The following is a 25,802-nucleotide window of genomic DNA, read 5'->3' on the forward strand; positions in this document are numbered from 1 at the left end:
GGCTGCTATGAGGACTGAATAAGATAGACACTCGTTCTGAGCAAGAAAGAGTGACATCATCTCATTGTAATTTTTTTAAAGTGTAATTTACATACAGTAAAATTCATTTTTAGTGTAGAATTCTGCCAATTTTGACAAATGTACACAAGTAAGCAACTACCACCATAGCTCCATCACCCACAAAAAGCCTCGCTTGCCCTTTATAGCCAACCCGTCCCCAACCTATAGCGCCTTACAACCACTGTTTTGTTTGCTGTCCCTATTGTTTGCTGTCCCTATAGTTTGCTTTTTCCAGAATGTAATATAAATGGAACCATATAGTAAGTATCTTTTTGTTTGTTTTTGAGGCTTTAGGCTTTCTTTTTTTTTTTTTTTTTTGAGACTGAGTCCAGCCCAGGCTGGAGTGCAGTGGTACGATCTTGGCTTACTATACCCTCTGCTTCCTGATTTCAAGCAATTCTCGCATCTCAGCCTCCCGAGTAGCTGGGATTACAGGCACCTGCCACCATGCCCGGATAATTTTTGTATTTTTAGTAGAGACGGGGTTTCACCATGTTGGCCAGGCTGGTCTCAAACTCCTGACCTCAAGTGATCCACCATCCTCAGCCTCCCAAAATGCTGGGATTACAGGCGTAAGCCACCACGCCTGGACTTAGGCTTTCTTAATACTTCACTTTTTATTTTATTGTTAATTTTTATTTTATTTATTTATTTATGTTTTGGGAGAGACAAGGTCTCGCTATGTTGCCCAGGCTGGTCTTGAACTCCTGGCCTCAAGGGATCCTTACAACTCAGCCTCCCAAAGCTGAAATTACAGGCATGAGCCACCGCAACCAACCCAACACTTAATATTTTTTTTAGAGCAGTTTTAGTTTCACAGCAAAACTGAGCAGAAGGTAAAGAGATTTCATATATACTCCCTGCCTCCACACATGCAGGAGTGTCCCTCATTATCATCAACACCCCCACCAGAGTGGTACATGGGTCACAGATGATAACGCAGGTACCTTTCTGAGTCTGAATTATTTCACCTAGCATACTGCATTTGAGATTCATCCAGTGCTTTCACTTAGCATACTGCATTTGAGAATCCCATAGTGCATGGGATTTTGTGGAATATTCCATTGTATTGTATGGCTAGACACAGTTTGTTTTATCTACTCACCAGTCAGAGATTTAGGTTATTTATTTGTTTTGGCAATGGCAAAACCTCTAGAAGCAACTCTGTACGGGTTTTTCAGTGAACATAAATTTTCATGAATTTCTTCTGACAAGAATGCAGTAACAAAAAATGCAATTACTTTCCCATCTGAAACAACTAAAACGCTGGGGGGAAAATGCACGAAATGGCTTTCAGACACAGGGCATCAGGCAGCACAGGTCAGTGATTCCTGAGAGCGGAGAACCAAATGAGGGAGCCCTCCAATTGCTACAGCACCAGGAAAGGGGACTCGGGCAGAGTCTGGCAACCTCTCAGAATCAAGGAGATGGAGTCAGGAGTCCTGTGGATAGGGCTCACTGGGCAGTATCTCAGAGAAGAGACAGCTTCACAGAGACAGCGCTCCAGAGATCTGCAAACGGTCCCCGTGAGCCTTCAGCTGCTGATCCAGGCACACCCGAGGCTGAGAAAGAACCACCAGAAAAGATTAGAGGAAGCAATCCCCGGAGCTCATGCAGGGCGAAGAGTAGTTCACATTACAGCCAACTAAAATGGCAAAACTTCCTAATTCATGAGAGATGAGGAAGAGTATTCAAAGGGCATTGCCTCAGTAGTGGGGTGAGGTCAGCCCTGGATTAAAGGCTGCCCTATGTGAGCTCCAGGGATTTTCCTTCCTCATCCTTTCTAGAGGCTCCTTCCCTTGCCTTAGGTAGTTTCCTCACACAACTGCACTATCAGCGCTCAGCTGAAAACTTGGGAGGACCCTCCAAGGTTCTCTGGTCCTGCAAACTCTTACTATCCTAACCTCCCCCCAGATTCTTGGCACCTCTCCACAACTCAGAGAGAATGCTAGGCTTAGCCTGGGGCCCTCTCCCCAGCCTTCCAGGCACTACAGCCTACAAACGATCTCCAGGCAGTAAACTGGAGCAACAGTAAAGCTCATCTCCTGCGTTTCTCCCTCTCAGGAATGACAATTCTCTGCTGCCTATTGTCCAGGGTCTGAAAACCATTGTATCATAGGTGCTTTCCAATTTTTTTAGTTGTTTGAGGTGCAAGGGTAAATGGTCCCTATGCCTCCACCTTGGCCAGAGCTAGAGATGACATCATCTAATCCTGTTTTAAAAGAACCACCCTGGAAATTAGATTAAAGAGGACCAAGGGTAAAAGCAGGAAGACCAGTGAGAAAGCTACTGCAATAATCCAGGGGAGAGCCAGGGCGGCCTGGGCAAGGACTGTAGGGATGGTGGTAGCGAGAGGTAGTTGAGGTGATGATATATTTTGAACATAAGAGTTAATGGGATTTGCTGACAAAAAGGTTTCAGGTCGGAGACAAAATAAGGAGTCATGGTAGACTCCAAAATTTTTGGCCTGATGACTGGATGAATGAGGAAACGTGGGGAGGAGCAGATTTGGGGTCAGATTGAGGTGAAATCATGAGTTTGGTTTTGGGCAGTTGACATAACCAAGTCTGCCAGGAAGTCAGGAAGGGCTGGTCACTCGCCTCCCAGCCCTCACCCACTCAGCTGACAGCCCCTCCTGACCAGGAACAGGAGGGTGTGAGCTCAGTGCTGGCCACACCTGGGTTTTCCTCCCGTAATGCTGGCTCAGCTTACAAACTACTTAACATTTACATGGCCTGCACTTTGTAGTTTTTAAGTATTTCAGTCCAAGCATGGTGGCTCATGCCTGTAATCCCAGCAGTTTGGGAGGCCAAAGCGAGCAGATCACCTGAGGTCAGGAGTTCAAGACCAGCCTGGCCAACGTGGCAAAACCCCGTCTTACTAAAAATACAAAAAATTAGCTGGGCATGGTGGCACATGCCTGTAATCCCAGCTACTTGGGAGGCTGAGGCAGGAGAATTGCTTGAACCCAGGAGGTGGAGGTTGCAGTGAGCTGAGATCGTGCCACTGTACTCCAGCCTGGGCAACAGAGCCAGACTCTGTCTCAAAAAAAAAAAAAAAATTCACACCTGTTGATTCATTTAATCTTACAAGAGTACCATGCAGTAGATGTCATCATCCCCATTTTGCAGGTTAGGGAACTAAGGCTTGGAGAGATGAAGTGGCTTTCCCAAGGCCGTTTCACTGGTAGGTAACAGAGTGAGAACTTGAACCCAGATTCCTGGATTCTAAGTCCAGGATTGTTCTTTTCTATATCTGCTTGCAGGCCATGGAAGGGGACCCTACATCTTTCCTGTTAGCACTGCGGGTGGCTTTGTTTAAGCAATGAGCTATGAGAGAACATCTCCCCTCCTGCTGTGTGCGCTCTACTGCTACAGTGTGCACAGGTCCAATTAGAATGCCAGTGGAAGGGCTGGCCATCTGCCTGAGGGAGTGGGAGCCCTGGAGCTCCTGAATTGGGAGGGTCTTCATCTTTCTCCGGCTTCAACCTTAAGTCTGCTCTCCAAATGACTTGATAACACCATAGGAACCAAAGATTGTAAAGCAAAGTCTCTCCATGTCTTGCTCTGCCCCCTCTGCAGATTTTCCTGCATTCATTTCCCCTTGGCACCCTTTCCCCTGTCTTGGTGCCAGAGGTGTGACCTGACCTGTCTTAAGGCCAATCATTCTATCTGGCCACTGGATCCTATCCCCTTGGGTCCACCCAAATGACACTTTCTTTCCTCTCTCTCAACTACTGCAGGCTGTCTGGCTCCACTGTCTCTTCCTCAGGTGCATTTAACTTGTTTTTATTTCTTCCATCTTTAAAAGAAAACCATCTACCCTCCTTCCTTACCAGGGCCAATGCCTGTCACAGCTAAGTTAACTGAAATTGTAACCTATGCACCAGGGCCATTTTCCGCCTCCCACTGACTCTTCCACATACTGGAATCAAGCTTCTGCCATCTCCCCCTATCTGGCTGACCCATTTCACTTCGCTGGGTTCACTGAGGTCACCAATGACCAAGGGGCAAGGATTGATCCTTAACTTAGCAATGGTCACCCTGTTCTTAACACTGTTTCTATATTGGCCTCAAAGACATCACTCTGCCTTGCCCTTGGGTGCTTCCTCGTCAGTCCCCTTCTTGGCCTCCTTTTCCTCCAATTAGCCCCTGAATGTCAGAGACCAGCATTCCCCCTTCCCGTGATCTAGATGAGCCACCTTCCCCACAATCTGAGAGATTTCTTACTCCTAAGGTCCAGACTTCTTTTTGGTAACTGTCTACCACTTTGGAGCAGATGCACCTGTGCTATTGCCTCCTCTGTTAGGAGGCATGGATACCCCCCAGCCTCCTGGAAAGCTGAACATAGGGAGTTAAAGGGTTGTTCTCCACCGGGAGTCAATCGACCCAATCTGGGGGTTGCAGAATGCAAGGGAGGGAGGAGAGTTGGCCAAAGACAGGATTTAGAAGGAAATTAGGCCCAAAGGCCCAAAGGCCAAAAGACCAAAGGGTCTATCAAAAGAAATCTTTTCTGTTCCTTTAATGCAAAGGCCTAGCCCTTGGGGTCAGCAAAGCTCCCCTCTCTCTTATGAAAGCAACAGAGAAGACGACATGCTTGGAGAGGAAGGGGAGGAAAGTGCAACCAGCTTCTTTCCTAACACCAATGCGGGGGAGTAGAAGGTAATTCCCAGCTTTTGTACCAAGGCCCTTCTGAAAGGTTCCCTAAGCACATGTGTTCACTTTCACCTTTATTTTTAGGTGTACAGACCTCCTAAAGTCAATCTGATCTGCGTACCTGCCACCAGCCCAAATTAAGGACCCTTAATTTGTGTGTATGTTAGTCCCCATTGAGTCAGCATGGGGCTGGCATGGAGCTTAACAGGGAGTGACCCTATATCCAGGTTTGCCCAGGACAGTCCCAGTTCCTAATGTGGTTTTGAGACATTGGGCCATCTGTCAGTTATAATGGCTATTGGGTGGGGAAAGGAAGTAGGGATGAAACAGAGCAATGACAGAGACCTAATCAGACCTGGGGACTGATCCTTACAGGGGTAACTGCAAGTTCAATGCATAGCATCCCAAGTGTTCTAAACCCAGGCTTGCCCCAGGAAACCCCAATATCCAACCGGTGTATTGCAGATGGGAAGGTAGCAGGAGGTCCCAGGCAACAGGAAGTACCTGAAGACAGGAAAGTGGCTGCGTGGGGAACCCGGGTGGTGAATCCATTCAGGGCAGAAGTGCAGCGCACAGTCTCTATAGCTGAGGGCTGGAGGAAGCAGAGCTGGCAGGGACATCTGCCGAAACTGATTCTGCGTACCTGGAGTCCTTGACGGAGAAGAGAGGGTCTTTCAACAAGCTCTTCTGAGTACTGAGGTACTGAGTACCTCACACTGAAATACTGAGTACCTCACACTGAAGTACTGAGTACCTCACACTGAAATGCAGTGTGAGGTGAATCCATTGAAGAGAGGAATACGGTATGGTAAGAAATTGTGGTATGAGAAAGTCCAAGAATATAAGCAAACACCTACACGTTGGTACATATCCCCAGTTCCTTCCCAGGCACTGGCCTTATGCCCAGCACCCGGAAACTCTTTGGAAGGTAGGCGTTCATGTGAAGCGGATTTTACCTGGACCTAACTAACCCGGGGAAGGGAAGGAGAGAGTGAGCCTGGGGGAGGAGCTGTTGTGATATTTGTGGTGCCAGGGTCACGACCAAGGTCATCCATACCAGGAGGGCCCTGGCAATGATTCCAGTATTAAAGAGCCACGTTGCCAACTTCTCCAGAGAAGGTATAGGAATGAAAACGACCCAAACACCTGTGAATGTGCCAGATGTTCTTAGGCAGTTTGCCTGTGTTATTTCACCTAGGCAGGTAACATTTTAGACACAAACAGATTGAGGCTCAGAGAAGGTAAAGAAACTTGTCCTAAGCACAGCTGGCAAGAAATAAAACTGGAACCCAACTCCCAACCAGTCAAAAATGGAAGCCCCCAAATCCCAAATTATTAAACATAATTTTTATTTCATCCAAGGCAAAGCTAAATACAATTCTACAATGCAAAACTTGTTGTAGAGGCCAGACTGATTATATCCGTTCTGTGCTCGAACACAAGTCAGTGCTGGCTGTGTGGGCATCTGCGCCTCCCAGAGGCACTCGCACACCTGAGGCCTCCCAAGGCCTGTTGTTGCATCATTTGATCTATAGTTACATAGGAAAATTGACTATGGGTATTGTTGTCATCCAAGCCAGAGGAATAAACCATGCATAAGATAGTCAAAAGCACTGCATATCAGGTGGGAGGTGGGAGGGTAGGGACTCCAACCTGGGACAAAGTAAAGTAAAGCAAGTTATAGGATTTTCCCGAGAAGTCCCCGCTCCTGGAACTCCCTACTGCCAGCCCTCTGATGGCAGCTGTCTGTGACACTGAGATGAAGTCATGGAGTGACGGAATGCAGGAGCACGGCTGGTCTTCTCTGCCTTTGATTCTTTCTCAGTCTCCAGATGCCTCAACAGGCATAGCTCAGGCCAAGAAAGACGGCTCCTCAAATGTCCAGCATCTGCCCATCATGCATCACCCCTTACATGCAGAGCCCATCCACTCCACAGTTACGCTGCCATGCACCCACACTGCCTGCACACGCACACTCCACACAAGCACACCCCACCTCCTGCCATCTCACAAGCATGCTCTCAAGCCCTCGCTCCACAAGAGCTCTGATCGGCCTGCCATATGTAGTCTGAGCCCCATCGGCTGCTCTCCCCAGGCCTCTCTAACATCAGGGGTTTATTCGGGCTGCCTTCTGTTCAATTACGACATGGGGAGAAGCCCAGAACCTGGAATGCTGATTTCATATTTTGTAGTTGATGAGGAGCTCAGAACTTTGTCTTTAGTCTCGCTGACATCACTCAGCCCAGCTGCATGTGGCCAGGTCTCTCAAGATCGACTTTGTAAGTGGCTCTCTCTAGCCCACAAGCCCTGGAAGCCACCATCAGAGATTTGCATGCACTGAGGTTCCACTTGGGGAAGATAGCTTTGCCCATATACATCCTAGTGCAAATCCATGCCAGTGTTTCTCCATGGGTATAATGTTGACATGGGACAGGATGATTCTTTGTTGTGGGGACTAAGTTTAGCATTCTTAGTAGTGCCCCCACGCATGGGGGCAACCAAAAATGCCCCCCCTACAATCTCAGTCACCTCTATTGAAAACCATCAAACAAAAGCCATGGACAAGAAGCTTTAAGCATCAGAGTCAAGGTTTCTAATATTGCAAAGACTAAATAATTCCAAGGGGGGTGGGATGGAAAGAAAGAGAGAGAGAGTGTGTGTGTCTGTATGTGGGTTGTAGAGATGGGACACAGAGATGAAGACAGGACAGACTTGGAACTATCCCTGCAATTAATACCTGGCTTCCCAGATCCCTTTCCAAGCCAAAAAGATGTTTTTAGACAAAACTTGCCAAGCCTCACAACAGTCCTGTGAGGTAGGTAAGTATTATTACACCCATTTGGTAGATGGAAAGAGCTGAGCTGAGAGAAGCTGCATGATCCATCTAGAAATCAGCAGTAGACCCTGGGGAGGAAAGAGAGGATGGTGCCCTTCTTCTCCCTACTCTACGTGCCTTGGCTTTCTCTTAAGACAGAAGGAGGAGCCCCAAGGTGCTCTGCCTCTTCAAATGTCACCATTGAGAAGGAAGAAGAAAACAGTTTTGCATGAAGGTAGCTATAAGAAGTTTTCTGAATGGCTGGTGGCTCTGGTCTGTCTGCTCCCAAAGCCAGGAAAATCTGAGCCCCAGCCCATGACAGGTTCTGGGTAGAGAAGAATGGGAGGCGCACAGGCAGATCAGACGGGGAACTGGTGAGCCCAGCAGGTTGGCTAAGGGACACTGGCCACAGCCACGGGCACCCTGCAGGTACTACTGGTCCTCAGTCTCCCCCCACTCCACCCTTGCGAGGCTTGCAGCTGCTTTTTGACAGGGAGAGCTCTGAGGTAGACCCCAAACTCTCTGAAAAAGGGGGCTACTCCTCTCTCATCCCTCCTAGGGGCCCAGAAGACAGGGCATCAAAAAATCAGTAAGGGAGAGAGGGATTGGAAGTAGATGGGCAGAGAGGCTTGTTACCACTTTTCCCTGCCATCCCTGGCCTCACCAATTCTGCCCAACAAGGACTCAGGAGATCCCACTCCCAACATCACCACCTCCCCCTAGGGCAGGCTAGAAACCCCAATGGGAGCACCTGGCCGACATCTCCAAGATTCAGTCACTGGCCAATTCCAGCCTCATGGCCCCCTCTATGACCCTGGGGAGGGGAGGGCTGGCGAACCCTCACCAGCACCACACCAGACTCTGCTGTTATGTCAGGACATACCGTCTAGAGAGGATGGGGGTAAGGGCTAGGATTCAGGACTAAGGCACATTCTAGCCCCACACACAAGGGCTGTGCAAACCAGCTCTGGGAGAAGCAAAGGAAAACTGTGGGCACCCACTCCCTGCTCCTCCCCAACCCCAGGGTGGGAGGGGGTGGCCCAGCTGAGCAGGAAGCAGCTGGGAAACCCAAGGACCCCCTCATCCAAAGGAAGAGAGTCCCTGAGGCGAAGGCAGGCCCTTGACCCAGGGCTGGGAAATGAACCACCCTGGGGGCAGGGCGTGATGGAGGGCACGGTGGGGGGGGGGGAGCGAGCCAATGGGAGGTTGGAGGGTGCAGCCTCTCAGGTAGGAGGGGGAGAAGCAGGGGAGAGCTGGGCTCAGGAGTGCCCAGAGTGGCGATGGTCCTGCCATGCCAGGGGAGGGGCTGCCAGCATTGGCAGCAATGGGGCGGGCATCCCAGAGGCCCAGGACACTGGCTCACTACCTCTGTGGCCCAATTCCCCAAGTAGAAATGCTTGGAAAGGCATAGGGAGCACTCGGGTACTCCAGGAAGGCTCGAGGGGCCCCTTCCTGAGCCCCTCAGTAACCCAGAGAGCAGAGGAGCAGGCTAGGTGGCCAGGAACCCTCAAGACCAGGGTGGCCAGCCCTGGTTGAGAGGGCTTAAAAACTCTGAGCAGGGGAGGGGATAGGCAGATAGGGTCCCGGGGCAGGGGAAAGGAAGTTTCCTACTTGGAAGACTGTGGGGGATCTGGTATCCTATGAAGCAGAGGCAGTCTCTCACTGTGGGCCTGCCCCCATCAGCCCCCACCCCAGGTCTTCTCCAGAGGCCTCCAGCCCACTCCCACCTCCAAAGGAAGCCACTTCTTCCTACACCCCATCTCCAGGGTGCAGCTCTTAGGACATCCCTTACGGATCCTCCCAGTCTCTTGTGAAGAGAAGCCTGGAGGAAAATCAAGGCCCTGCTTGTGCAGGGTAGGGAGACTGAAGGAGACCCCATCTGCCCAGGTGTCAGGGGACCAGCCCCTCCACACCACCCTAGCCTCTCCTTTCTTTCTCCTGAATCTTCCACAGACCCCCTCCCCTGGCCATCCCTTGTCCCTGGGGAGCCCTGACTGGGAAGGGGATGGGCAGGCTGGGCAGGACTCTGGTTTCTTGTGCCCGGAAAGACTACAGTTTGAGCCAAGCAGCAGATGTCTCAGGCACGTGGGTTCTACGGTCGGGGCTCAAGCATCAGTTTCATCATCAGAAAGGGGGCTCCCTGCAGCTGCTCAGCCCGAAGCAGGGCTCACACTTTTGAAGGTGGTTTCTCCTCTGCCTTGGAGCCAGGCAAGCCGTTCTCCGTGTTGTCATTCCCCGAGGAGCTCACGAGACACTCCTTCCTGGAGAGGGAGAGAGAAGGGACAGTGGTGAGGAGAGGAGCAAGAGTAGGGGGAGAATTGTGGCAGGAGCCGTGGGCCCTGCACCCAGCCCTGTGCCTCTCCCTGGCCTTCTACAGAGCTAAGGTAGCCAGAGGCCATGTCACCTAACCTCTCTGTACCTCAGTCCCCTCATTTGTGAAATAGAGGTAGGGATGACCTTCTGCGTGGGGTTGCTGGAAGGAGAAATGAGCACTTAGAACAGTGCCTGCCATGTAGAAAGTTCTCAACTGGCCAGGTGCGGTGGCTCACACCTGTAATCCCAGCACTTTGGGAGGCCGAGGCAGGCAGATCACTTGAGGTCAGGAGTTCGAGACCAGCCTGGCCAACATGGCAAAACCCCATCTCTACTAAAAATACAAAAATTAGCCAGGCGTGGTGGCAGGCGCCTATAGTCCCAGCTACTAGGGAGGCTGAGGCAGGAGAATCGCTTGAACCTGGGAGGCGGAGGTTGCAGTGAGCTGAGATCGTGCCACTGCACTCCAGCCTGGGCAACAGAGCGAGACTCTGTCTCAAACAAAGAAAAAAAGAAAGTTCTCAATAAAGCTTAGCTGTCACCTAGTTGTCTCAACATGGCAGGAAGCAAAGGGCACCAGGTGCTGTTCTCAGGGGTCAGTTCCCAGGCTGTGCCACGCCAGGGGGAGGGGTCCAGGCCAGCAAGGAGTATGCTGAGGACACAGAGTCCCTCTCCCCAGGGCCCCCCAGGCCTTCCTCCCTGAGCTCTCCGTGACTAGAGGTATTAAGGGAAGAACAGAGTCCATGGAAGGGGCAGAGCAGGCAGTGGGTTTGGCTTCAAGGGTGACAGGTCTAGGCAGAGTTTGGTGGGACGGAGCAGAAGACAGGAGGAAGGAGAGATGGTGAGATGGGAAGACACCTCCCGGGAGGCGTTCCACCCTGACCGCTCTGAGCTGGACATGCTCCAACTTCAGTGTGTCCCTCCTCCACAGCAGCGCCCAGGCTGGGCACACAGAACTCCCCAGGGAGCACCTGCATCCCTCTGAGCTTTCTGCTCATGAAAATGGCCAAGTTTTTCACAGCTGCTACAGCCAAACTACATCCTACCCTCACCCTGGGCTTGGGCAGCTGGGTTTGAGGCCTTTGGGAAGGACTGAATATTTTGTCCTCATTAATTTCATCTTGCAATACCTAGTTCCTAGCTCCAGCCTATCAAGATCTTCCTAGATCCCTTTTTCTTCCAACATAGTTACTAGGCTTCTGGAAGTTGATAAATGTGACATCCCTAGTGTACTTCAAATGTTAGTAATAACAATGAACAGGTGGAGCCCTGTGGAATACACTAAAGACCTCTATTCGGATGGATCCATCTCTCTCTCTCTGTCTCTCTCTCTTTCTTTCTTTCTGTCTCTGTACCTAAGGCATAGTTAACCCAGCCAATTACGACCCACCGAACTGTATTCCACGCAGTCCATAATTCTCTACTGAGAACCTACTGGGTACCAGGCACTGTGTCGGAAACGTGCACTCTCCTAGGGCATGTGACATTAAACAAGTGATTGTGACACACTGTGGTAAATAACAGGATGGGGGATGTAGGAAGGAGGGACCCAACCTAGGAAGCCTCCTCATAGGAGTCAGGGAAGCTTTTTGGAAGTATACCTTAAACTTCCAAGCTTCTTTGAAACCAAGAAAGATGAGCAGGAAAAGAGAGAGGGTAAATTCCAGACAGAGGAAACAGCACCCACGTTTCAGAATCAATGGTGAGATGTTGTCCAGTACCTCCCTGTTCTTGAGAAGCCACTGTCTCTGCTGTAATGCAGGCATTCCCCGCCACTCCAAGGACCTCCCTCAGGCTTCCCTACGGTCTGTCCCCTGCCCCCAGGCTCTTCCACCCAATCCCTCCGCCCACCATGGCCAGATCCTTTCTTCTGTGCTCTCTGATCGTGCCAGGGCCCTGCAAGCCCTCGCCAGCTCCCCTGCCGTCGGAAGTCAATCACAGCCTCGACTCCCAGGTCCCCAAGTGTCTGTCCCCAACCCCTTCTGCAGGCTTTTATTCTCCTCCCCACCACCTCACCATACAGCTCTCTCAACAAACAAAAGGCTTGTTCTCCAGACAAGCCCACTTCCCAGACTCTCTGCCTTGGCTCTCAGTGGTGCCTCCATCTGGAAGAATCTTCCCTTTACTCTCCCCAGGGCTTAAGTTATATTAATCTTGCAAGGCCTGCCACAAACACCCATTCAGCCAGAAATCCTTCCCAGAATTTCACCCTGCCCTGAACCCCCACAGCAGCATCGTATCAAACCTCTTTGCTGGCACTGATCCCCTCTACCTTGTATTACATTTATTTGTATACACATTTATTTGTATCTTGTCTTCTTTAGTTAAAGGCAGAATCTCATTCCTTCCATAATTTCCTATAGCATCTGGCACAGTGCCTCAAAAACAGCCACAAAATGAACAGATAAATGAATGAACTCTAGATATGCCCAGTGAGTCAGTAGAACATCCTGGCAATGGTTTAAGCTTTGAAGCCAAATTAGTCACAGTTCAAATCCCAGCTCTATCACTTACTAGCTGTGTGGCCTTGGGCAAGTCACTTCACTACTCTGAGCCTCACTTTGCTCAATTGTAAAATAATAATTATGGGTAGTGTATAAAATTGCCTGGTGGAATTCCTAACATATGGTAGGCATTTGATGAATGACAGGAAGTGGTATTTTCCAGAGCAATCTCCTGTTCTGCCAGTGCCTTATCAGGAGACATCTAGCATTCCTTTTTTTTTTTTCTTTTTTCTTTTTTTTTTTAAGAGACGAGCTCTTGCTAAGTTGCCCAGGCTGGACTCAAACTCCTGGGCTCAAAGCATCCTCCTGCCTCAGCCCCCCAGGGAGCTGGGACTTCAGGCACACACATCCAGCTTAGCATGTCTTGTTTTTGATGAACCCACTGTGGCTCTGAAGGACCACCGTTGTCTTTTCTAAGTGCTTTTAAACCATATATTGACAAATTTGTTCTCCATCCATTGATAGTAAGACTGGTTATGAAAAACAGAACCTAATTAAGCTCCACGCTTTTAGCCCCTCTCACGATCACCAAAACCCTCACAGCCTCTGGCCACAAGGCAGGCAGACAACCCTTGAGCTCTTCATCGACAACCCAGTTCTGGGGTCCTCCCCTGCTCCCCAGCCCCAGCGCTGCTACCTGTATGGCCCCTCCCTACCTCCAACTTCCATCCCCTCTTTCTAGAGTAAGTTCTGCCCTTTACAGCAGAATTCCCTCTTCTCAGCAGAGCAGAATGTTTCAGCAAATAGGGGCAGAGGAGTTCTCCATTCTCTGCATCTCGTGGTTACCATCACCCTCTCTGTTCCAATGGGAAGCCATCTCGTCGCATCTGTCTTGCTCAGAACACAACTTTCAAATGCCTTTTCCCTGCTCTAGTTTTGCAAGATTCACCACATGCTGCTCTGGAGCCTGTCTGATACTGTTCCAAAAATTTGGGGCCTGAGGGTTGCACCCTCCGTACCTCCCCCATCTTCCCTCCCCTTCCCCTTATAGATGTCTATTTTTATACCTGAACTTATCCTAGGGCTCCCTGGGAGGCCATATCTGCCTTTTCAAACTTTTAAAACATCACCTCCATCTGAATTTTCAGAAATTCCTAACAGAAGAATTTTGTTCCCATCTCCCTAGAAGAGTTTTCTCATTTTAGAGTCTCTGTACATGGAATCTTACATTTTCACTGATTTTTTCAAAGGCTCCTTAAGTCCTTTGGTAAGGCTCTCGGTTGGGTGGTACAAATGGAAAGAGAGGCTAATGGGACGGGAAGGAAGACAGTGGGCTGAGGAAGAGCAAGTGGCTGGCGTTTGTGTATTCAATGAACGTATTCAATAAATACATATTGGGAGGATGAGGAAGAGGGAAAGCGATGAGGAAGGGGCTGAGAGATGGGGAGGGGGTGGCAGGGATAGAACAGAGAGCGGTAGGAATGGGAATGGGGGGAAGGAGGAGGCAGGTGGAAGGCTGAAAGCTGGTGGGGGTAGATGAGAGGGTGGTGGGCTGCTGGGAGGACAGGAGTGTGCTCCAGATCAACTCACTTCTTCTCCCGAGTCTTCTTCAGGATGAAGATGATGAGTTTCTTGATCAGCAGGATGAGGATGAGGAGCCCGATGACCCCGCCCACGACAGCCAGGATGATGAGTGTCACTGTGTTGTCCACTTCTTCCACTGTGTGGCCCGAGTAGGGAGGAAAGGGAAGGCACAAAGGGAGCAAGAGTCAACCTGGAGCCGAGAACTGTGGCAGTGCAAGGGCCATGTAGCCTCCACCCCCTGGCATCCGGGGCACATCCACTCCCAGACCCCCAGCCCTCCCCAGGCCTGCAGCAGGAAGCTGGAGAGGCAGAGCATGGCATCTATCAGGCTAGGGCACACATAAGGGGCCCTCTCCCCCACCCTGCACATGCCCTCCCACAGATGCACTCACACGAGTTCTGGAATAAATCAGAATTGGAGCCTATAACACTCAAGTTTGAGTGGTGACTTGATCCCCAAATTGCCAGGCGAAAATTTCATTGCCTCTTTCTAGACCCCTTTGCTCACACAGAAAAAATTAAGAACCTCCCTATGATACCTCTTAGATGGTGAGAAGATTTTGGAGTCAGATAGTCTGAATTTTAAGCATGGGATTTAACTGTCACTAACTAGCTGGCAATGTTGGGCAGGTCATTGAACCCTCCTAGCCTCAGTTTCTTCATCTGAAAACTGAACTCCTGACTGCTTCCGGAACCTGCTCCACCCACAGTCTTCCTCCTCTCCACTGAGAACAACTTTATCCTCCCAATTGCTATAACCACAATCCTTGGAGTCTTCTTTGATGCCTTTTATTCAAACGCTTTATCCAAGCTACCTGAGAATCCTGACAGCTCTAACTTTAAAATATTCCAGAATCTGATGGCTCACAATCTCCCTGGCCCTGGCCCAAGCCACCTCTTGCATGGATGTCTGCAATAGCTTCCTAACTGATCTCCTCCCTCTATCATCTATTCTTGGCATAGGGGCCTGAGTGAACCTGTTCAGGCCCTAACTCCTCTGCTCCCAGTGGCTCCCACCTCACTCACCCTTCCAGCAGGGTGATTACACAATCTGGCTTGACCTGACTCATCTCTCACTCCTTGCCCTGCTCCAGCACTAGCCTGCTGTGATTCTTCACGCATCTGCCTCAAGGCCTTTGCACTCACTGTTCCCTCCCTATCTTCCCAAAGATGCCCTCATGGCTCCTCTCTCACCTCCTTCAAATATCCCCACTCTATCGCCTTTTCCAGAGAGCCCTTCCCTATTCACCCTGCTGGCACCCCATCTTTCTTTCCTGCTTTATTTTTTCTTCTTAACACTAGCCATGTTCTCTTTTACAATATCATTTTTCTTCTTTATTTTCTATTGGTATCTCCATACACAGAAGAGGAGGAAGGTAATCTCCATAAAGGCAGGAATTTGTCTATCTTGTTCATATCACATCCTCGGAATCTAGAATAACGTCTGCCCCATACAAGGTGCTCAGTAAATATTTGTTGAACAGATGGATGAATGAATCCATACAGATGGAGAGACGATCCACCTCAAGGGAGCTGGTGAGGAGCAAAGGAGCTAAAATCAATGACAGCAACTAACTCGGGATCTGGCACCCAGAAAACGCTCCACAAATGCCCGTTCTCTTCCTTCTGAAAAGGCTGAGTACAAGCTGGGTGACAGAAGCCCAGACAGAAAGGAAGAGGTGACACCATAGGCAGACCTATGACTCCAGGCTCAGAAAAGCTGATTGGATAACCTCTGGCTCCGCCCTTGCATACTCGAGATTGAACTCACGGGTGTCTCCCTCTCCAGGGACTCAGTGTCATCCAGGAGAGCAGCAAACTCCCGGTACACACAAAATGCAGCAGAGTCAGGATCCTTGCGCAAGTCCCCTTCCCTTTTTCTCTCTGCTTCTGCACTTCCCTAGTCTTCCAGGCCCCTCCCCTCAGTGGGGCCATGCCTCACTTCTCCAGCCCTGGTTATCATATCCTCCTTCTCTAACCACACCAGGTCTGGTCAGGGACCACCTGGCTCCTTTTCATATGCACCCTCCTTGTATGATTGGTCCTCCTGTGTCAGACTGGAATCCTAGGTAGGATGTAAGCCCCCAGAGGACAAGGGCCATGTCTTACTCCATCTCTGTTGTTTTCACCTCTACTGACAGATGTATGCATCATGTTCTGCCCATTCTAGCTATTTATTTATCTTCTGTCCTACCTTGTACTGTGAATTCCTCAAGGAAGAATGTAATGTATCACTCATAGCACTTTTTAGTCCAATGCCTGACATTCAATCAATTTTTGCTAATGGAATACCCAATGGTATTAATAATCAGTATATACGGAGAAAACCCTACTAGCCACAAAACACTACCAGGTAGCTTCTCTAACCACAACTCTAGGAAAATGAAGCCATATTCCCATTTTACAGATGAGGAAAACGAGGCTTAGAGAGTATTTCATAAGCTATTTGGTAGCAGAATAAGTGTTCAAGCTGAGCTCTTCTAGCTTTTAGATGTAACTCCAGCAGCTCTGGAAAGTGTAAAGCAAAAGAAAACACCAACACGGTCCATTTTGCCATTTCACTGTGATGCTGAGTTGGGTGCCTCCCAAGTCCTTCCCACGCCACTGCCCTGTGCCAGCCCCTACTGCATACGTCTATCAACGACTTGGAGGAAGATGGTGGCGTGGTGCTGGAGATTATTCTCCTTGGGGTTCTTCACATGGCAGGTGTATTTGCCCGTGTCGCTGAACTCCAGGTCCCTCAGCACAATGGAAATGTTGTTCATCTTCTCCTTAGTAGAGCCTACCAGAGTGATGCGGTCATCGTCTTTCAACGTCACCTTGGGGTCAGACTTCTCATTCTTCACAGTCCCCTCTATGAGCTGGTGGAGGAAGGGAGTTGGGGTGAGAAAGTAGCCGAGAAAGAATCGGGGTCCTCAAGGGTCATGACATCACACCAGCCCACTCCTTGGATGCCTCCCCTGTCCAGGACCAGGAAGAGCCTGTAGTCACGCCCTGCTCCTTCCCCCCATGGTTTCCTCTTCCAGCGTCAATAGCTCTGCCTGTCTAACCTGAATTTTACTTGTTTCAGGCTAAACCCATTTCCTTTTATTAAGGTCTCCCTGGAATGCAGCACAGCTCTTACTGCTCTCTTCATAAAAGCCTTTTACCTAATGACTCCTGCAAGCACCGCACTCATCTCCCTCTGTCACCTCCCACCCAGCCTTTGCTGACACCATGTCACCTGCCCAACTGAATTTTGGCCCCCTGTCAAGACCTGGATCAATCCCACAGCTCTGCCCGTCAGCACCCTCTGAGGTCAGCATTTAATTATAACCAGAGTTGGTCTCTTGTGGCTTCCCTGTGAAAGTCTCAGGTTGGATCCCCCACTAGATTGTAGAGTGAGTACAATCTAGTGAGTTCACTCCCACCCCCACCGCAGCCGCGCCAATGCTCCTGCAGCTCTCCCTCTCTTCCTCTCTCTTTTCCCTGCCAGTCCAGCTTCTCAGCCCTTCCCTCATTCAGACTCTTCTCATTCCTTCTCTCCAAGCTTTCCAAGGCCTTTCTCTCTCCTGTTTCTTAGACTAAACTATTGATTTTTAGACAAGCAATCCAAGCTCCGGGTGTTTCTTAAGACCAGACAGAGGACTCTAGCCAAGAATTCCAACAGTCCCCGAATTCTGGCAACACGATCTAAGCATCTCTCCCAGTTACATCCTTCCTGGCAGGCTCTGAAAAGAATACTGGGAGAAAGGGTGGCAAAAGGTGGGTTCTGGGGACCATCGCAGTGGGTCTCAGTCCAGAAGGGACCAGAGCGTAGGAGGCGAGGCATGGGTGAGGGAGGCTGGGCTGTACTGTTCTTCCTCCAAATACTTACAATCTTGAATGCGTCACTGCTGTTGTAGGTCCACCGGAAGTGGAGGTCCTCGAAGCCAAAGCAGCTGGAGAAGGTGCAGGGCAGCAGGATCTCCGTGCCATTGACAGCGTAGATGTCGGTGGCCTTTCCCACAGACACCTCCAGCGACAGGGTTACGGGGAGCAGGAAGAGGCCTGTGTAAGGAGCACCGCCTCCCTTAATAAAACCCCACCAGCCTGGAGCTCTGGAAGGGGATGCTTAGGCAGGGCGGAGTAGCTTGGCCAGGCAGGTAGGTCTCTATCACCCTCAGTGCCAACCTCGGGAGGATGGCTGTCTACTCCAATCAGCACCGCCTGGGCCACCCTCCATCATTCTCCATTTCTCCCCTGGAAAGGACTGAATTCTGGACCAGGGAGTAGCCCTTGTTGCGCTCTGGATGACCACCAGGGGTCACCCCAACCCAAGGAAACAAAGGCCTGGCCACTGCCGCGAACCGCGCCCCGGCTCCGCCCCTCACCTGGGGACGCAGTGCCTGGAAGCGCTCCTGCCGCACCCACTCCAGGACGCGCAGGGCGGGCTCCCTTCTGTTTGCAGGGGAATTCCCCTAGGACAGTACGCGCCTCTCGCCAGGTTTTCAGGACTGACGGGCGGGGCGGTCGAGGAGGGGGAAGAGCCGGGTCCCGTAAGGTGAAGAAGAGAAACGCGGCCGCCGCAGTCCCGGGCCGCCGTCCAGTAGCCTCTCGTTCCCCCGCCCTGGAGGCTCCTCCCTGGTCCCCAGGGGCAGAGAGGCAGAAGGACACGTTCGGGCTGGACCTCGCTGGGCCAGCCGAGTCCGACGCCCTCTGGCCGCCAAACGGGACCCTGGGAACCGCAGGAAGACGGCCTGGCAGGGGGGAACACGGCGGGGGTGGGGACCGACGCGGGGCTTGGAGCTTGGCAGCCGCGGGGGCGCGCGGGCGCAGCCAGGGTGGGAAAGTCAGTGGCAGAAGACACCCTGGGGAGGGATTCCGGGCCAGCCCGAGTGCACGCGCGCGGGGGCGGGACGGGGAGGGCGCTGGACCCGCGGTCCCCTCCTGAGCCCTGCAGCCCGGCCTTCTCGCCACACTCCGCCCCCTCGTCCCCGAGCGCCCCCAGGCTTCTTTCTCACGCTTCGAACCTCCGCCCCAGCACTCCGATGCGGCCCCCTCCGCTGGGACTAGGCCTCTCCACTCACGGCCTCCAAACTCCCGCTCCGGAGTCCTTGTAAGGGGGCCTGGTTCCCCGCCACCCCGCCCCACACACACACCCACCCCCAGTCCTGCAGATGCCCCAAGGAAACCCCACTCGCCTCAAGGTCGGTGGAGGCGGGGGCGGGGAGGGTGTCTGGAAGTGGATGCCTGCCTCACCTCCTCCCTAGAGGACACTGGCACCTTCCAACCCCACTCTCAGGAAGGCCCTCTGTTGTCTAACTTAATTCCCTGTTCTGCATCATAAACCTCTTGTTTTGCCCCCACCGGATGATAATGCGTCTGAGCAATGCTTTTCAAATGACAGAAAAGGATCTCCAAGGACAGCAGGCAGCCCTGCTTGCTCAGCTTCTTCCTGTGCCCTTAGCTTCTGATGACAAAGTGAAGTGCTTATATCCCCCAGCCCTAAAATCACACCCCGTGGTCCAGTAACCCCATCGTGATTCGGCCATTGTCGCTAACAATAGTACTAGCTGATATTAACTGAGCATCTACTATGTGCCAGGCACATTTCATCCTCACGGCCTGTCCTATGAGTCACGTACTATTATAGGTCCACATTGTAGGTGAGACAACTGAGCCTAGAGAGGTTATGTAACTTGCCTAAGAGACCCAGATCTACCCACCAGGGCTCCAATTAGTGCTGGGAAGTTATTTCAATTAGCCTTTATTTTTGGCCAGCTCCTAGGATTTGTGGCCAACCAGGATTTGTTCTAGAGCCATGGTTTTCAAACTTGAGAGCGCATCAGAATCCCCTGGAGAACAGTTACGGCTGGCTCCGCCCAGCCCCTGGAGTTCTGATTCAGGTCTGGAGTGGAGCCTGAGCTTTTACATTTCGAGAAAGTTCCCAGGGAATGCTGTGCGCAGGGACCACACTTTGAGAACCACGGTGCGAGAGGATTTGTGCATACTAACTACGACTTTTATTAGAATGCTCAAAGGCAGGTATAATGTTCCCATTTTATATATGATGAAACTGAGGCTCAGAGAGTTGACTTGCCCAGGGCCACAGAGTAAATGGTGAATTTGAGACTGAGCAGTTACTATAGGATAGGAGAGGTATTTTATATACACTGTCTCATTTAACCCTCATCATAATCCTATAAGTTACTATTTTTATTCCCAATAAACAAATGAGGAAACAGGCTTAAAAAGATTACCTTGCTCATGGCCACACACCCAGTGAGTGGAATAAGCAGCGTTCAGATATTAGCCCCTTTCCACCACTCTGTGACCAACCACACTCTCCAAGAAAAACACTGCTATCAGGGCTTAGCACTCCATAGAACTCCTGCCTTTCTGTTTACCTCTGCCCTCCTCCGCCCCATCTCCCCCAGAGGTCTAGGGACAGAAGCCAGACACAAGATCCCACTCTCCAGTCTGCAGCCAGCACTAGAACCTTTTGGTGGGAGATACCAACTCTGCTTCCCACCCTCCACAGCCCCCACAAACAGGAAGTGAATGCAGAGCAGTGGACAGGGAAGCTGTCAGACAAGGCAGCTTCCTGATAGCTAATGGCCTCCCTCAGGGCACCAAGGAGTGTGGCAGCTCCTCCTCATCAGCATACCGGTCCAGGAATCAGGGTCCTGGAGGAGATGGGGGAACTCAAATCCGTGCCCAAATCTCCCCACCTCAACCCTAGCCAGAAAGAGATATTCAAGAGCACAAAAGATGCGTGCGAAAAGGAAATCTTATTGATTGCTTTAAATAGAAGCAAAAACGAGCAAAAGATGGGTCCAGAAGAGAGGGGAACACTGTATCTTTAAGGTCTGGCTCATGACACAGTACACGTTTCTGCCTGGTTTGTGTGCACCTATGTGGATGACTTAAGTCCAATACACTCAGGACTCTGCAAGTGAAGCATTGCCATTTCCTCAGTAGCTGGGAGGGGAAAATGAAAACCGGCAGAAATGGTTTCACAGAGTCCAGAGCCCTGCCCGAGTGAAAGCATCAGAGAGGGTGGGCAAGCCTGGCTTCTTCAGTGCACAGCCCTCCCAGTCGGGAGTCATGCAGTCCTGCCAGTTATGTCTGGGAGGGTCATGCACAAGAAAGCCGAGGGGCCTGCCTCCCATTGAACTCAGTGTCTCCTATGAGGCTGCTCTGGGGGAGAGGGGGGAACCAGGGGCAGGTGTTGGTCCACAAAGGCCGCCGGAGGGCTGCTTCAGGATGACCAAGTCCAGAGAGGACTGGTGAGCATGCGCAAGGCAGGCCCCACTCTGCCAGCTGACCTTGAGAAAGTCAGAGGTGCCACATCCGGTGTGCATATCCCCAAGCCAGGGCAGGGATGCCTCTTTCCTACTTCTCAAGCTTGGTGTGAAGCCAGAACAGGAGATTATAAAACACAAGAGGGGCCGCCGTGAGTGGGCACCCTGCAGGTAGAGGAGGGTGGTATTTGAAAGGGGAGCAGGGGACAAGGGTGTCCCTCATCACAGGTAACCAGGGCACCCCTAGCTTCCCTGAATAACCAGTGTCAGCCAAGAATGTCTCCAGGCCATTCCCACATTGATCTGTATTTTCACCCTCTACCACTTCTTGGCTTATTTCCATGTGGCCATTTCCCCGGAGTAAAGAAAGCCTTGCTTTGCTGTTTTCTAAAGTTAATTCTAGAATGTTAAAGTGTACGTGTGTGTGTGTGTGAGAGTGGGGGGCCTCTTTCCGGCATTGTGGAATTGAGGAACAACTCTTCCCAGTCCTGATCCTGTGGAATTCCATCCTGAACCCCAAAATCTTGCTTTTCCTCACTAAAAAGCCACTCTCAGAGCAGCCATTTTCTTTGCCTTCTCTGAAGTCCTGGCCCCCTGCCATCCTCATCTGGGGTTTTGTCTGAGGACTGACTCAGGATCACTTTTGTTAAAGTGGAAAAGTATTCAGCACATGCAAATCATATTATTAAATATTCACACCAGCAGGAATCTTATGGCAGCTACCATATATCCCAAGGCAAATGTGGAGGCAGAAAACTTTCCACCACCTTTTCCCACATCCAGGGATCACTCACAGCCACCCCAGGATGCGGGGAGGAAAGAGGGGCAGGCTGGTACCCACTCTAAATATAGCTCTGAGGGCTTGCTGGCATGGCAAGTGGACACACGGCTGACTTTAATAGGGAGGCTGATACACTCTGGCCCAGGGAGAGTTAGAAAGGCTCAAAGTTAGAGCTGGGGGGCAGAAAGTGGGCTGAGGCCAGCAGGACAGGACCCCTCCTGGGGTGCAGGCCCTGGGGGCTTTGGGAGGCAGGGATGGGCCAGGTAAGGCCCCTGGGCCCAGAGACAAAGGAAAGATTTCAGCTTTCTCTCCCTAGGCAACCTACCTGCTTCCTGCCCATCCCCAGGAGCTTTGCTGGTATGAAAGCATGCCCCTGAGACAGCATGGGATGCTCAGTGAAACCAGCTTTGCAAACAAGTCCCAGCAGCATGCCTGTCCCTCCTCTTACAGGCCAGAGAGCAGGTTGTGTTGGCACGGCCCACCCCTGGCTTATGCAGAGATCCCTACACCTCCTTGAGGACTGGCAGCAGGGCAAGGTGGTCTGCTGTGCCCAGTCTCCCTCTCATGCTGATCCCACCAGAAGGGGGCCAGTCATAAGAGCTTTGGAACTCCAGCCTTCTCTCTCAGGTGCCCCCACAGGCTTGCACCTCCAGCAGGTTCAGAAGGAGAACTAAGCATGTTTTCCAGATTCAAACCCAGGATTCCAGATTCAAACTCCCTCCACTTCTCCCCTTTCCTCTCTTCTCCACAGTCTCCTTGCTTCTTCTTTCCTTTTTCTTCCTCTGAGTGGGACTGAGCACCCTCTCCTTAATTGCATTCTCATTAAACAAGCCCTTAATAAATACACACCAGGGGAAACAGGGTTGTGCAATAGAGCACCCTCACAAGTGATAATTAAACACAGATCACAGCAATTAAGTAAATGGGGGAACAAGGAAGGAGTGGGCAGGACAGAGATATTACCAGTTACATGCTTAGGAAGAGATTGGAAAGCACATAAACCTCAATGGCAATAATATAGCCTTGGAAACTGCTTCTCAGTTTAAGAAAAGGGTATTTTGTTAGGTTATCAAAAATCACTTTGGTCTCAGTCTGTGAGACTGGGTTTGATACGGGGAGAGGGGAAGAGGACTCCTGGGAGTTCACTGCTCTGTACCCAGTCTCCGAAGCTGTGAAAAGAGCCGCTCTAGGCCCCTCAAGTCTTTATCCTTCCACACTCATGCCCCAGAGCCTCACTTATTCTTCAGCCCTAAGCACAATCACTATTTACCTTCCCCCTCACCAGACTTGAGTTAAGTGGGAAGCAGCGTGGTGTGACAGAGCCCAAGAAACTTAGATTCTGTCCCACTTGGCCATCAATTGGCCATGAGCCCCTAGACAAGTCACCATCCCTCTCTGGACCATGACTTCCTCATCCCTAGGAGAGTTCTGTGCTCTGCTTCCCAGAGTTGCTGCCAACTCTGATGTTCCCAGGGAACACCTCCAGTTGGCTGTCCAGTCGTCTCTGTATCTCCCCCACTGGACTGAGAAGCAAGGATGTCATCTATGTCCCAAGCTCAGACCAATGCCCCTGTGAGGGCTCAGTCAGTATTACCTGGTCAAGGGCCAAAGGGACTTTGGTTGGAGTCCCTCTGCAGACCAGAGGGGCAGGGGACAGAGCAGATGAGGCCAGTCCTGGGGCCTGCAGGTCTCCCACCTACAAGTCACTCTGCTTTCTCCTGGGCTCCCAAAGGGTAGCTCAGAAATTCATCTAAACCTATATCAATAGGCCTTAGCCCCTACCTGGTCTATACAGCTGAACAGTCCTTGGAGAAGGTGGGGCTTCCACCTGGAGCAATGTACCAAGACTGTGCCTACAATCCCCCTTACACACGTGCACACACACACACACACACACACACACACATCATTTTCAGGGCCCTCTTGGTTGCCCACAGAGGCCTGGTTCTATGAGTATTCTAACAAACAAGGGACTGGCATCCCACCACCCAGGAAGGTAAGCCAGAGGTGTGAAGTGGGGTAGTTTAATGACTGGCTGAGTTTGAATTCCTCAGTGATCCTTTACCCCTGCCATTGCCACCATGGGGACCTGGGCTGATCTGAGATGGGATGAGGGGAAGTAGCATGGAATGGCGCTGTGCCCACCCTGTGAAAAGGAGCCTCAGGCGTCACTAAGGCCCACTTCATTAAGGTCACTGTGAAACCAGCATGACATCTGTGCCAAGGTACAGGAGAAAACAAGGGTGTCTTCCATCTAGCGGTACAGAGGTAAATAAACATCCCAAGTACAAGAAATACTCTCTCCCCTCTTCACCACCAGGCACCAACCTGCTAGATCTGCACACAGTTTACATTCGCAGAAACAGTAGCCACTTCCCTTATAGGGTTCTGTCTCCCTGTTTTCAGCAGAAATACCTACACCGTGTGTCTTACCCAATGCAGGGAGCTGCCAAAAGCCAAATCTGACCAATATAAACAGGAAGAGATGCCGTTGCCAGAGATGGAGTCGGCTTACATTAAAGTCTGGCTATGATTTATGAGGAGATTACATCCTGGATGAATAAATATCATTCCCTAATCTCTTGGAGTTTGACACTCAAAACTCTCATGTGCATATTAATAGATATTAATAATGCTTCTTCCTCCGTGTCCTCTGGACATGTCTTCTCTGTCTCCATATTCACTTCAAAAATGAAGAGCCAGGAGCAGGTCAAACAGGTCTTCCCTACGGAATCTCTTTGTAGGAAGAGAGACAAGGCCGTTCCTAAAGGGCCTTGAATGATCCCGCAAGCCCCTCCAGCCCCTTCCAGCTTTCAGGTGCTGCTGTAGGGAAGGCAGTGGCTCCTGAGGGAGGTACAGGGCAGAGGAGCAAAGCAGGAAAAGGGCCCAGGAAGAAGGGGACTCCCCCACCCCCAACTGGTGCATGCCTGGTGCCTGGGAAACAAGCAAACGGCTCTGGGCCGGGATGGAAACCACCATTCCAACAGTCACACGTGCAACCCACCTGGTATCCCCTGCACTCAAGGCACGGACCCCCCTCCTCCAGCATCCTGAACCTCTGAACTCTGGAGACCCGCGCTGCAGCCCCAAGATCCAGCTCCAAATACCTGGAGCCGAAGGTGCCAAGGACAGCAAAAAAACTAATCCTGAGACTGGCGGGCTGATGGGGTAGAGAGGGACGCACACGGTCCCCAGGGAGCACAGCCTATGAACCAGGCAGGAACCAGGCAGGAAGCCGGCGGCCACCATCCTCATTCCGTGCCGCACTCCAAAGCCCACCCCATCCAAGGCATCTTCCTTCTCGAGTGTCCCCTTCTTTGGGGGTGGGGGGAGGCAAGAGAAGAGACCAAGCTGGGGCTGCCTTACCCAAAAGCCCAGTGCCCAGCCATCTCGCCGGGGCTTTGCCTCCGTCCCCAGCCCCGGGCATAGTCCTGTTCTCTCCGGAGCGCGCGGGGGTCGCGGGGATGGGATACTGGGCACAGCCGCGCTCTCCGCCCGAGGTCGGCGTTCGGCCACAAAGCTACCCCGGAGCTCTGCGCCGCCGGTCGGGGCTCGGGAAAGTTAGCGGGCAGAGAGCGAGAGGAGGGGGAGGGAGGGAGCGGAGGGGGAGGCGCGCTCGCCCGCTGCTGGGAGCCGGCTGCTGGAGCAACGGCGGGAGGGAAGGAGTAGGAGGAGCCGGAGCAGGAGCGGGAGGAAGACGGAGCGAGCGCAGCGGCGAGCGAGGCTGCGCCTCTGCTCTGGAAGCGCTCCAGCCGCAGGAGGGGCGGTGGCCGCCGCGTAGGCCGGGGAGCCCCCGCCCGCTGCGCACCCTGCCTGCCGCACCCCGCCTCGCGGTCCCGGAGCCCCGGGACCACGCCGTGCCCCCAACTCCCTCTCCAGTGGGGC

At 51.7% G+C, this 25,802-nt stretch overlaps 1 protein-coding gene across 4 annotated transcripts, besides 5 other annotated features; it reads right to left on the reverse strand.

Annotated features, from left to right (window-relative positions):
• Positions 2,553–3,054: an enhancer, noted in NCBI's record as "H3K4me1 hESC enhancer chr11:118000597-118001098 (GRCh37/hg19 assembly coordinates)". NCBI's record gives its function as "activates a minimal SCP1, AML or CMV promoter by ChIP-STARR-seq in primed H9 embryonic stem cells {active_cell/tissue: H9 hESC(primed)}" and the evidence as "EXISTENCE:reporter gene assay evidence [ECO:0000049][PMID:30033119]".
• Positions 3,055–3,554: an enhancer, noted in NCBI's record as "H3K4me1 hESC enhancer chr11:118001099-118001598 (GRCh37/hg19 assembly coordinates)". NCBI's record gives its function as "activates a minimal SCP1, AML or CMV promoter by ChIP-STARR-seq in primed H9 embryonic stem cells {active_cell/tissue: H9 hESC(primed)}" and the evidence as "EXISTENCE:reporter gene assay evidence [ECO:0000049][PMID:30033119]".
• Positions 6,048–25,494, reverse strand: SCN4B (sodium voltage-gated channel beta subunit 4). Of its 4 annotated transcripts, NM_174934.4 has the most exons (5): positions 25,284–25,494; positions 17,728–17,900; positions 16,504–16,732; positions 13,878–14,007; positions 6,048–9,791 (listed from the first exon to the last, which is right to left on the reverse strand). In NM_174934.4, the coding sequence occupies exons 1-5, from the start codon at positions 25,342–25,344 to the stop codon at positions 9,698–9,700; spliced, it is 687 nt and encodes a 228-aa protein (NP_777594.1). In that variant the 5' UTR covers positions 25,345–25,494; the 3' UTR covers positions 6,048–9,697. The 4 variants fall into 4 exon arrangements, 3 of the variants coding, with proteins under 3 accessions (NP_777594.1, NP_001135821.1, NP_001135820.1); NR_024527.2 differs by lacking the exon at positions 25,284–25,494 and having other exon boundaries at positions 16,658–16,732; positions 17,728–18,104; NM_001142349.2 differs by lacking the exon at positions 25,284–25,494 and having other exon boundaries at positions 17,728–18,104.
• Positions 16,475–17,674: an enhancer, noted in NCBI's record as "BRD4-independent group 4 enhancer chr11:118014519-118015718 (GRCh37/hg19 assembly coordinates)". NCBI's record gives its function as "activates an origin of replication core promoter dependent on BRD2, P300/CBP, MED14 and CDK7 cofactors, and independent of BRD4, by STARR-seq in HCT116 cells {active_cell/tissue: HCT116}" and the evidence as "EXISTENCE:reporter gene assay evidence [ECO:0000049][PMID:35650434]".
• Positions 17,891–18,090: an enhancer, noted in NCBI's record as "active region_5583". NCBI's record gives its function as "activates an Ori minimal core promoter by ATAC-STARR-seq in GM12878 lymphoblastoid cells {active_cell/tissue: GM12878}" and the evidence as "EXISTENCE:reporter gene assay evidence [ECO:0000049][PMID:35858748]".
• Positions 18,511–18,580: a silencer, noted in NCBI's record as "silent region_3943". NCBI's record gives its function as "represses an Ori minimal core promoter by ATAC-STARR-seq in GM12878 lymphoblastoid cells {active_cell/tissue: GM12878}" and the evidence as "EXISTENCE:reporter gene assay evidence [ECO:0000049][PMID:35858748]".

This window comes from Homo sapiens, chromosome 11, assembly GCF_000001405.40.
Source record: "Homo sapiens chromosome 11, GRCh38.p14 Primary Assembly".
Taxonomy (NCBI): domain Eukaryota; kingdom Metazoa; phylum Chordata; class Mammalia; order Primates; family Hominidae; genus Homo; species Homo sapiens.

Coding starts and splice junctions, on each gene's coding strand:
- SCN4B (NM_174934.4), bottom strand. CDS start 25,344: ATGCCCGGGGCTGGGGACGGAGGCAAAGCCCCGGCGAGATGGCTGGGC. Junction 17,901..25,283: donor GCTGGGCACTGGGCTTTTGG/GTAAGGCAGCCC, acceptor CTCCTTACACAG/GCCTCTTCCTGCTCCCCGTA. Junction 14,008..16,503: donor CCTCCAAGTCGTTGATAGAC/GTATGCAGTAGG, acceptor CGGGCCACACAG/TGGAAGAAGTGGACAACACA.